We start from the raw sequence: 11,992 nt of genomic DNA, 5'->3' as shown, positions 1-11,992 counted from the left end.
CTCCCGCGACATCACAGGAAGGCTGAGAGAAAGGGCAGGTCCCCGCTGCGTGGGGCTGGGCTTAAAGGCTCGTCGCGCCTGCGCAAAGGACCTGACGACGTGCTGCGTCGTTACTTTTGAAACGCTTGGCGGGGAAGTGCTGTTGGAGCCGCTGTGGTTGCTGTCCGCGGAGTGGAAGCGCGTGCTTTTGTTTGTGTCCCTGGCCATGGCGCTGCAGCTCTCCCGGGAGCAGGGAATCACCCTGCGCGGGAGCGCCGAAATCGTGGCCGAGTTCTTCTGTAAGTTCTCGCGCAGGCCAATATATCGGGGGGAACGGAGTCGTGACGGCTCAGTAGGCCCACAGCTCGGCCTCTGATACCAGAGAAGTAATCTGGGGAGAGGCGGCTGCAGGCGCTTCCTCCAGACGCGTTGCTAACGTGGAGCTGCAGGCCTGCGTGCTGCTGGGGCCTACCTCGCGGCGTAGCCTCTTCCGGAGCGTTTCTTCCTTTAAGTGCAGATCCGTCCCACCTCCCACCCCTTACTTTCCGATACAGGACACGGTGTGACTGGGGTGGGCCCCAGTGTATGCGTATGTGTGTGTTTTTCTTTTTTTTTTTTAACTGCGAGAGCACCCTCACCCTCCCACTCAAAGTGATTATTGGGCATGAGGCTGGCAGTAGACAAGACTTTGGGAACCCTTGTTTTCGAACAGGCCAGCTGCACGTTCTAAAGGAACCTGGCAGGATTTGGGAGGGAAAGGGGAAGATAAAGGCTTGTCTGGAGCACAGTGACTATTCAGTCAGTTGCTAACTCGAATGCAACAGCCTATTTTGACATCCTCTAGCCTCATAATCTGAATTTGGACTTGGATTACAATGAGGTGAAATTTGGCAATAATAAGTTGATACACTTTGGCTTTTTTTTTTTGCCACGTGAAAGCAATTATCTGTTTTACTTAGAAGCAAGACTTTTAAGGATTTTTAATGCCACTTTGTACCTACTCTGCTTTCAGCAAGATACACGTGTGTTCAGTCATTTATAGCTGTATAGCCTAATGAAAATATAGCAACATCTAAATATATTTTATTTTCCAGAGTTATGCAGGGATAATGAATTTTCTGTAACATTTCTTTTGCTTGCAGCATTCGGCATCAACAGCATTTTATATCAGCGTGGCATATATCCATCTGAAACCTTTACTCGAGTGCAGAAATACGGACTCACCTTGCTTGTAACTACTGATCTTGAGCTCATAAAATACCTAAATAATGTGGTGGAACAACTGAAAGGTATTTTAATCATTGGAAACAATTTGAGTCTTGCAGATTTTCTAGCATCTTAAGCAGTCATTTTTCCGCTCTGCACATAGAAGTGTACTGACATCTCAAATATATTTTCAATTGAGAGGAAGAAAATAATATATAAAATGGAAGAAATACACTCTTCCCCCACCCACTACATTGTGAGTGGGCTGAATATTTTGATGTTAGAAATCTGATATGGCTAAAAAAATAGTCTTCATCAACTCCCTTAGAAGTGGCTTTTGCAGTAAATGTGGCCAAATGGAACAGGTTGGAATTTTACATAATTATAATGGTGTTCACTATCTGAGACAATATACACTACATATTCTCAATATAATGTATTAATTTTCTGTAACTAATTAATTTTCTGTAGTCTAATGTTATCATTACATTAAGATCAAGGAAATTGGATTCAACCAGAGAACTAAACTTCAAAAAGAGAAAAGATTAGCTACTAAATAACAGAACACTCACAGTTTTTTTGTTTGTTTGTTTTTCACGTATTTCTATTTGTCGTTTTCAAAAATTCTGCCAGTGATTCAGTAAGCCTTTTCTGTCTGAACACTCGTTTTTCTTTAGCTGAAGACATTGATGTATTACCTGTTGGGTGAATACTTGTTCTTCATCGATTTCTTTTTCCTTTCTAGAATTCCTGTTAGTTTTTCTTTCGTGTTACCCTCCACTTAGGATTCTCATTTCTAATTGTTCAAGTGTTTCTCCCATTTGATCTTCTAAAATTTTAAAAAGTACTACAGCAGCCATCTTTTTTTTTTAATTTAGAAATTATTTCTTTTGTTGTTGACCAGAAATGTGTCTTTTTTACCGTTTTTATTGCATTTTTACTAACCCATTTTTAATATGCCCTTCCAATGATGGCCATGTGAACTTTTTTAGCTTGGTAACTCTCTTTCAAGCTATACTATCCTCTAGATAAACTGTTAACATTGCCTTGCCATTTATGTGTACAGGAGGGGAATCCCACAACAACCTGTGGATGTCAGGTCTCAAATTAACAGGCAAGGGAAGATAGCCCTGTTGACATTTTGGCCTGGGTATTTCTTTGGTATGGGTGCTTTTCTTTGCTTTGGTGTGGGTGCTTTTCTGTGTGTTATAGAATGTTTACCAACAACTATGGCCTTTACTCACCAAATGCCAGTAACAAACCCCCTTGCTCTGACAACCAGAAATGCCTCCATGTATTATATTGCCAGATGTGCCCTAGGGGACAAAACTGCCCTTGGTTGAGAACTTCTGCTATAGTAGATTGGTATTGTCAAAATAGCAAGATGAGACCTCTTTTGGTGTGGGAATAGACCTCTGTTCTCAAGTGTACACAGGAAAGACACTGATAAGAGTGTCCACCTCTCCCAGAGTTGCATCCAAAATTGGGGGTCAGGAATAAATCATCTATAGTGATTCATAGGGCTGTACTCAGGTCGTTTGGCCTGGAACCTCTAGACAACTATGGATGTGTGTTTTTATCTTAATTTGCTGGAGAAGCAAGCATTGCCTAAGCCAATGGTTTTTAGGTTGTCTCCTTTGAGACTGCGTTAATGACATTTCACCTTATTTGTGTCTAGACCTTCCTATTTAACTTGTCCCTTTTATTTTAGTTAAAGTGGAAAAATTGCTCTTCCCTAGAGGCAAGTTGTTCGGTTTGTTTTTTGTTTGGAGTCTCACTCTGGCACCAAGGCTGGAGTGCAGTGGCGTGATCTCCGCTCACTGCAACCTCTGCCCCCACACCACAGCCTCCCGAGTAGCTGAGATTATAAGCGCCTGCCACCGTGCCTGGCTAATTTTTATATTTTTACTAGAGACAGGGTTTCACCATCTTGGCCAGGCTGGTGTCGAACTCCTGACCTCGTGATCCACCCACCTCTGCCTCCCAAAGTGCTGGGATTACAGGCATGAGTGGCTGCTCATGTTTTGTTTTGCTGGCCAATTGTTTTGTTTTGAATGTAATTTCCTCTAGCCTTTTTCAGGGTCTTTATCCTGTTCTCTCTTATATTTTCTGCTTCTGTGTTTTGATTTTAATTATCCCCATTGGTTTCATCTCTCCAGTTTTAAAGGAAGAGCAAATTACCACCCAGTCTCCTTTTCAGAGTGAAACTAATAAAAAGTTGTTGATAAATGCCAGGGATCACAAGGCCCACAGGCCACATCCAACAAGTGGCCTGTTTTTGCACTGCCCACAAGCTAAGAGTGTTTTTACACTTACAGGTTTGTTTAAAAATAAGCAACAGAGATCTTGGTGGCCAATAAGCCTAAAATATTTAGTAATTACTCTGTTTCTTTACAAAAACTTCGCTGACTCCTGAATATGCTGTTTCAATTTCCAAGATTACTTCAAGGCTCAATCTGAGCCCCCGTTCTGTGTTTATAATTTCTCTATAGGTGATCTCTGACCTGTGTATAGCTTCACTAACAACCTCTGTGTAGTCAGCTCACAAACTTACATCTATCCCAAGCCTCTTTCTCCAGACTCATATATCCAGCAGCTATATCTTTATGTAGCTATCCCAGAGACAATGTACACTCAAGTATACTAAAAACTAAATTTAGGATCATCTCCAAGACTGATACTCTTTAATTCTCTTTTTTTCTCTCAATGAATGACTAAACCGTCCAGCCAGAAATAAAAGAAACTTGGAAGCTGTCCCTGAATCATGCTTCTTCCTTACTATCGTGACTAAACCCAATACGTTTTAACCATGAAATCTCTTAAATCTACCTATTGCTCCATATCTACCAGTTTATCCTCCTACAAGCTTTCATTAACTCTTGCTTGAATTACTGATTGACTAACTAGTGTCTCTAGATCCCCTCTTTAACATCTCCAGTCCACTTTCCGTATCACGGCTAGAATGATAGTTTTGAAATACAAGTCTAATTGCTTTACATCCTGTTCACACACAGTAATGACTTCCCTGGTCTTGAAGTATATATTTTTTTAATTTGATCCACCAGGCTTTGCATGGTCTGGCTCCTGTTAATCTTGCAAGGATTACTTTGTTTTATTTTGTTTGTTTGTTTCTTGATTGCACTTGTAGTGGGCTGCTTCCAGCCCTCTATATGCTCTTCCCTTGGCAGTATTTGAGGCCTGTATCTTCTTTCGTATCCTTTTGCATATTTAATGCTGTTTATCCCTAGAGCTAAACTCAGACCTTTTCTGACCTCCCTGAGTGGCTCAAATTTTCCTTTTTTTATGCTCTCATTGCATCTTACATCTTTCTTTCATAGCAGCCATTACAATGATAATTTCTCATTTATTGGTGTGATGAGTAGATTAATGCCCATCTCCTATGCTTTTATGTTGGATTAGGATGAAACTACCACATGTTCAGTATTCTGTCCTCAGCACCAATTACTGTACCTGATACAGATACTGAGAATTTGAAAACAGAAGTTAGATTATTGATGGTGCAAATTTTCTTGCACATAGGAGGAGGTCCCAGATAGCAGTGGTAGGAATTTGCTGAGGATAGGGAGTGGGACCCGAGAAGAGAGCTACTTTATGATGCAGTGGACCAAGAAAGATGCCTTCCTTTTTATATGTTGCAGATTGGTTATACAAGTGTTCAGTTCAGAAACTGGTTGTAGTTATCTCAAATATTGAAAGTGGTGAGGTCCTGGAAAGATGGCAGTTTGATATTGAGTGTGACAAGACTGCAAAAGATGACAGGTAAATAGGAATTACATTATTTCTACTTTGATATATTTTTTTTCAAAACTTGTTTTTATTACTAATTGAGTTCTAATTGTATTGAACTAGTTTTATATAAAATATAGTTTGTTTCTAATTTATATTTTCTAAGATATCCTCAGTCACCTATGGAAAAGAATTGTGCTCAGTTTAGCATATCATTGATTTGTATATATAATATAATTTTAACATAATTGCCTTTAGTCTAAATCAGTAGTTTTCAAACAGTATTTATGGTGATATATACAAAACTACACATGATATACTAGATGAACCATTTAATAATTGTTCTAAGATATTTTTAACTATAAGGAATGATATTAGACTCACACAATTTAAGATGTAGCTCTGCTGTACTTCCTTTAATGCCATCTACTTCCTAAGACACTTCATAAATTTCTGAAGGTTCCAGACTCCCTGGAAGAGAAATGCATTGTCCTAGGCATGCTCTTCTATAAACTGAGAACCATTTCTTATAGTGAAATGTAGTTTGCTTCTGAAGGCTTTGGTGTATTTTAGGAAATTTTTAGCTTATAAAATAATTTGATATACAATTTAATGTTTTATTTGAGAAAATAGGAAATTAGACATTTAGGCATTACTAAAAATGCTGAAATGATTATACCAATACATATTTTAGATATCACTTATTTTTATTTCAAGAGATGCTGAAGTTTCCTGAACTTGAAGTGATTGGCAAATTTTCTAGTCATCTGATACTAAATGACCTGACACTAAGACCAGCTCTAAAAGATGACTGGCAGGATAAATGAAGTAATAAGGATGAATGTTGTGCCTACTAGGTTGTAGGTCTGAAGGATACTTTCACTCACATTTTTTACAAACCTCCTTTCTCAAATAAGCCCTGCTTATTTGATGTTGAGAGCATTTAATCAGATAAATAATCTAACCACTATGTTTGAAATAATTTGTTAAGACCTGAAATGAATTAATTGATTTGATTTTTTTTTGACAGTGCACCCAGAGAAAAGTCTCAGAAAGCTATCCAGGATGAAATCCGTTCAGTGATCAGACAGATCACAGCTACGGTGACATTTCTGCCACTGTTGGAAGTTTCTTGTAAGTATTATACAACTTCTTGTTGAATTAAATTGATTGGCAAAAAGACTAAGCTACTGCCGTAATCACCCCTTTATTAAATTTTGTCTTATTTATCAGATTTATGTAATATAAATTGAAGGAAAAACATTATCATGCAAAAGTAATGTATCGTAGTCTCCCTTTCCACAGGGAGACCCACAGTGAATACCTGAAACCATGGATAGTATGAACCCTATATAATGTTTTTTTCTTATGCATACATACCTATGATAAAATTTAATATGTAAATTAAGCATAGTAAGAGTTAATAATAAACTGGAACAATTATAACAATATGCTGGCATCACTATTCTTGTGCTTTGGGACCATTATTAAATAAGATAAGGGTTACTTGAACACAATCACTAAATTGCACGGAAGTTAGATACAATATTTTCTTTACTGAAATAAATGTTCATTGAGCAAAATAAATTAACTAGTGATTGGAGACCAAGCCAAATGACCTTTTCCAGCAGTGAGTGGTTCAAAATAGAAGAGAGGCAGCAAGATTAGTTTTACTTTTAGAAAATAATATACTTCAATGATCTTATCCCCAATTTAGGTTCATTTGATCTGCTGATTTATACAGACAAAGATTTGGTTGTACCTGAAAAATGGGAAGAGTCGGGACCACAGTTTATTACCAATTCTGAGGAAGTCCGCCTTCGTTCATTTACTACTACAATCCACAAAGTAAATAGCATGGTGGCCTACAAAATTCCTGTCAATGACTGAGGATGACATGAGGAAAATAATGTAATTGTAATTTTGAAATGTGGTTTTCCTGAAATCAAGTCATCTATAGTTGATATGTTTTATTTCATTGGTTAATTTTTACATGGAGAAAACCAAAATGATACTTACTGAACTGTGTGTAATTGTTCCTTTTATTTTTTTGGTACCTATTTGACTTACCATGGAGTTAACATCATGAATTTATTGCACATTGTTCAAAAGGAACCAGGAGGTTTTTTTGTCAACATTGTGATGTATATTCCTTTGAAGATAGTAACTGTAGATGGAAAAACTTGTGCTATAAAGCTAGATGCTTTCCTAAATCAGATGTTTTGGTCAAGTAGTTTGACTCAGTATAGGTAGGGAGATATTTAAGTATAAAATACAACAAAGGAAGTCTAAATATTCAGAATCTTTGTTAAGGTCCTGAAAGTAACTCATAATCTATAAACAATGAAATATTGCTGTATAGCTCCTTTTGACCTTCATTTCATGTATAGTTTTCCCTATTGAATCAGTTTCCAATTATTTGACTTTAATTTATGTAACTTGAACCTATGAAGCAATGGATATTTGTACTGTTTAATGTTCTGTGATACAGAACTCTTAAAAATGTTTTTTCATGTGTTTTATAAAATCAAGTTTTAAGTGAAAGTGAGGAAATAAAGTTAAGTTTGTTTTAAATTTGTCTTAAAACATTTTGATACTGGTTTGGTGTTGATATAGTTAAATGGTAATTAGAATTGATTCAGCATAGCTAATGAATTCTTGTTCCTACGAAGTTATAGAACTTAAGGGTCCAAAGTTGAGTGAGTCTTGAGGTGTCTTCAATCTAATGGATAAACTTTGATCACATCCTGTTCATCTCATAGCAATAGACTTAAGGCTATTACTTCATCATTGTGAAAAGATAAATGTCCTTTGGAATTAGTCCAACAATTCCAGTTGAACAAGTGTTGATTTTAGTACTTTACTATACTCTTAGCCTTATTGTCAGCCTACTTTTCCTTATATACTTAAATACTATGCTTATTCCTGTGCTTTCATTAATACCCTCATCTGGTACATGCTTTCTATCCAGTTCTCACCTGTTTTTCCAAGGTCAGTTTAAGGCAGATTTGTAAAGTCTTCTCTAATCTCTAATCTAAATCTGACCTCATTTTGTAAAAATTCAGTTTATTAATGTTTATTATTAGACACTAAGTTCTTTATGTGTATTAACTTATTTAACCTTCACTATTTTTAAGTAATTGCACATAGTCTGAATCTGTTCATTCAGAAATTACATATTGAGCAAATACTGTGGATCAGTGGCAGTTTCTGGGTTCTCAGTGACAAATTTGTAGACTCTTCATATCTTTATGGAATAAGTGGACCACTGGTGTTACCAACCTAGATGATTTCAAGAAAAGTGGCAATTAAATGCTTCATTTGTATTTTAACTATTTGAGAAGTCAGACTAAATTCTGCGAAATCACTTTTCCCCCCCAAGATGGAGTCTTATTCTGTCGCCCAGGCTGGAGTACAGTGACGCAGCTCAGCTCACTACAGCCTCTGCCTCCCGGATTCCAGCCATTCTTCCGTCTCAGCCTCCTGAGTAGCTGGGATTACAGGCACGTGCCACCACACCTGGCTAATTTTTATATTTTTAGTAGAGAGAGGGTTTCACCATGTTGGCCAGGCTAGTCTTGAACTCCTGACCTCATGATCTGCCCGCCTTGACCTCACAAAGCATTGGGATTACAGGCGTGAGCCACTGCGCCCGGCTGAAATCACATTTTTAAAGGTTGTGTGTATACTCTGGTCATTTCAACTCAGCTACCAATATTAACAGGATTAAATTCTTAGATTTTTGTATCATTTGCATGCTACTATTTACTCTGAGGTTTCTGGAGAGCTAGTCATGATGAGTCATTTTACCCCTTACAGATTATATAATCAATTAAGAAATACACATTTTGGGCTGGGCGCAGTGGCTCGCGCCTGTAATCCCAGCACTTTGGGAGGCCGAGGCAGGTGGATCACGAGATCAGGAGTTTGAGACCAGCCTGGCCAAGATGGTCAAACCCCGTCTCTACTAAAAATATAAAAATTAGCTGGGCGTGGTGGCGGGCGCATCTCAGCTACTTGGGAGGCTGAGGCAGGAGAAATCGCTTGAACCCATGAGGTGGAGGTTGCGGTGAGCCAAGACCGTGCCACTGTACTCTAGCCTGGGCGACAGAGCAAGGCTCCATCTCAAAAAATAATAAATAAAAAAGAAATACACATTTTGGAGCTGAGTGGGAGCCAAACTATGAGTTTTATTGAGGTGAAGCTATACTGGAAAAGCTTTGCCCTGTAGCTCCAAGTGGACTGTCCCATCCTCTTTCTAGACCTTGAGGCTTACCTCAGGAGGATGATGTTTAAATCAACAGCTGAAAGACTTGTGAGTGGTTTCTACACCATGTTAAAGAGAAGGTTCTAAGACAGCATGATAGGCCTCTAGGCCTGGCCTGGACTCTGGCTCAGTGTTGCTTACCATATGTAGAGGATGAACAGAGGTTAAGCCCATCAAGGTCTGAAGTAGAGCCCAGGAGGAACTGAACTGTATCTGGCTTTCAGGATCCTTTTCCCAGTGTCATCAATCAGAGAAGTCAAACCTCTGTGAGAATGCTTGTGCAGAGGTATAACAGTCTCATGTATTGGTTGGCTTTTGCTGCACCTTTCTCATTCTGTTGGAGGGACATTGGTTAGTCAGGACTCTGAAGGCCAGCTTTTTCACACTGACCAAAGCAAGTGAAGGTCAAGCCTAACTTTAATGGGACCAGGAAGTATACTCCTCCCATGGAGGTGGTGGGAATGGCACCGAGAAGTTTGATGACAGTTATCTAATGGACTAGAGGTTGGCAAACTTTCTGTAAATGGCCAGGTAGTAAATAGTTCTGCTTTTGAAGGCATATGGTCTCTTGCACCTACTCGAGGCTGAAAGCAGCTATAGACAATACATAAATGAATGAGCGTGAGTGTGTTCCAATAAGAAAAAAACATGGCTGTTTGCTTCGGCCCCAGGGTTGTAGCTTACCAGTCCTGTAACAGATCACAGTTTGCTCTTTTGGTCACAAATACTTGAACCCCTCCCTAGTTCAGAGCATTTGATACCGTAATATTTAAAGCTCACTTGTAAAACATCGTTTGTTGCCTCCATCCATAGTATCTCAAACAGAATGTCTCTCCCAAATATACCTAAATTCCATATTCTCTGAAGCACAACCAGCTATTTTCTTGACATACTTCCTAACACACCCCACAGTTCACAATTTGATCTGAAAACTTGTTAAGGGAGGTTCTTTGGCATGTGATGCCATAAAAAGAGAGGTATGGGCTCTCCTTTAAAAAAGAGACCCTTTTTATGAGACTCACAATAGGATAAAGAGCCCATGCCTATTTTTAATCATTTTTTCACTATATAGACATGCATGCTGAAAAATGTTTTTATTAGTATAATGCTAATTATACTGACTTCCTATATATTTTAGCATATAGATTCAAAGATTATTAGCACAATAAGGTAGATAACTTCATAGACCATTTCTTCATCTTGTTTTCATTTAGTATGTAAAATTTATCTAAAATTTACATGAAAGATCAGAATAGCTATGTAATGCTACTTTGTAACTCTTATATTTTCCACCAGATGTCACTAATGCTGTAATATTCAAATTAAGATGACTTTCTTTTGGTTCTAAAGGCTGTAAGCTTATTGGAAAAGCAAGGTTACTCAGCATTGGAATTCCTGGCAACAAATATATAAATACATTAGGGGAATAAACACTTAGCATTTATTATTTACTAGTCACTTCACATGAATTTTTATTTAATTCTCATGCTTTTGTGCACAAGTAAAACTGGGGGTCAATGGGCATGCAAATTGTGTCGTGGTTTTTGAAGTTTAGTGGTCTCTCCTATCCCTGGCCAAGGAAGTATGCAAATTGTATTGTGGTTTTTGAAGTTTAGGTGATCTCTTCCTTCTATCCCTAGCCAAGGAAGTTCATCCTGACTCCCCAACAAGCATATCAAAAGGAGTGTTTCGTCACCTTTTTCCTCTTACCCTTTACATCCTTTTAGCAATAAAGTGTTCAGAACAAACTGGTTTTCCTTTACTGTGCTTTGCAAAACTTATTCATGTTTTATTGGGTGACTTTGTATTTACACTTTCCTCAGATAGTCTGTTGTCAGATGACTTTGACCAATGATTGGGAGGAACCAAATACAGAGGATTTTATCCTATGCCTAATCTATATTGTCTACAGAGTAAATCAGGTATGAATTTGTGAACAGTAATGAAACAATTTTCCAACTAATCAGAAGAATTGTTTGTTAAGTAACCTTAATTACTCAGTTTTTGGTGAATTGTTTGCGGCTTAACTTGTAAATAATTTCTTATTCTTTTTTTAAATGTATGAAATATTTCTAGTTATTTTGTTCAATGTGACTGATAAAAGTTTATATTGGAATAGCTGTGAAATGGAAACTGTCTACTCAATTTTAAATTTTATTAGTTATATATTTTTAAAAATAGATCTTTTAGAGATATTTCCATTCTTCATAATTATGACTTTTAAAGCCAGCAGTATTCACTGAGGCTAAAAAAAAAAAAAAAAACAAACGTAGTTGGGCAAGCTACTTAATCTTCATTAGAGTTGACAATTCTGTTCCAATCTGGCAAAAACATTGTAGCCCTAGCAACAAGACTATTAGAAAAGGCCTAGAGTGAAAAATGTCAGAGTTGACCCTCTGATTACACAAGTTGGTTTATGTTACCATGTCACCTATTTTTGTCCTCCACCATGTGATCTATTTTTATACCAGAGAAACATAATATAGTTACATTTACTTGTACAAAGCCCATTTCATCTACATTTATCTGCACCATTTTGCTATGCAAGCTTGTTTGCACAAAGGAACTTACATGAGATCAAAATCTTATTTTCTTGGAATTTTATCTGTGTGGAAAAAGGCATCCCAAATATAAGCTGGACCACCCATAGTCCATTTCCTTGCAAGGGAAAGAGTCCAAACACTTTAAAAAACTTTCTAGATATGGACATATCTAGTGGATGCCTAGACATGGATATGAATTTCTTTCTGAAATGGCAGTCTCACTGACCAAGTACAGATGCTAGTGGTTTTA

General features: G+C 37.7%; 1 protein-coding gene across 1 annotated transcript, besides 3 other annotated features; it reads left to right on the top strand.

Annotated features, from left to right (window-relative positions):
• Positions 9–514: an enhancer, noted in NCBI's record as "H3K27ac hESC enhancer chr4:120987581-120988086 (GRCh37/hg19 assembly coordinates)". NCBI's record gives its function as "activates a minimal SCP1, AML or CMV promoter by ChIP-STARR-seq in primed H9 embryonic stem cells {active_cell/tissue: H9 hESC(primed)}" and the evidence as "EXISTENCE:reporter gene assay evidence [ECO:0000049][PMID:30033119]".
• Positions 92–11,317, top strand: MAD2L1 (mitotic arrest deficient 2 like 1). Its single transcript, NM_002358.4, has 5 exons — positions 92–278; positions 1,122–1,268; positions 4,845–4,965; positions 5,963–6,066; positions 6,650–11,317. The coding sequence occupies exons 1-5, from the start codon at positions 206–208 to the stop codon at positions 6,820–6,822; spliced, it is 618 nt and encodes a 205-aa protein (NP_002349.1). The 5' UTR covers positions 92–205; the 3' UTR covers positions 6,823–11,317.
• Positions 167–326: an enhancer, noted in NCBI's record as "active region_21859". NCBI's record gives its function as "activates an Ori minimal core promoter by ATAC-STARR-seq in GM12878 lymphoblastoid cells {active_cell/tissue: GM12878}" and the evidence as "EXISTENCE:reporter gene assay evidence [ECO:0000049][PMID:35858748]".
• Positions 515–1,021: an enhancer, noted in NCBI's record as "H3K27ac hESC enhancer chr4:120987074-120987580 (GRCh37/hg19 assembly coordinates)". NCBI's record gives its function as "activates a minimal SCP1, AML or CMV promoter by ChIP-STARR-seq in primed H9 embryonic stem cells {active_cell/tissue: H9 hESC(primed)}" and the evidence as "EXISTENCE:reporter gene assay evidence [ECO:0000049][PMID:30033119]".
• Positions 11,318–11,992: the final 675 nt, after the last annotated feature.

This window comes from Homo sapiens, chromosome 4 (assembly GCF_000001405.40).
Source record: "Homo sapiens chromosome 4, GRCh38.p14 Primary Assembly".
Lineage (NCBI taxonomy): Eukaryota > Metazoa > Chordata > Mammalia > Primates > Hominidae > Homo > Homo sapiens.
This window is presented reverse-complemented; position numbering and strand designations above follow the sequence as displayed.

Bases quoted from the DNA above. Each gene is read 5' to 3' on its own strand.
- MAD2L1 (NM_002358.4), top strand. From the start codon at position 206: ATGGCGCTGCAGCTCTCCCGGGAGCAGGGAATCACCCTGCGCGGGAGC. The intron at 279-1,121 runs GTAAGTTCTCGC...TTTTGCTTGCAG, and splicing joins AATCGTGGCCGAGTTCTTCT to CATTCGGCATCAACAGCATT. The intron at 1,269-4,844 runs GTATTTTAATCA...TATATGTTGCAG, and splicing joins TGTGGTGGAACAACTGAAAG to ATTGGTTATACAAGTGTTCA.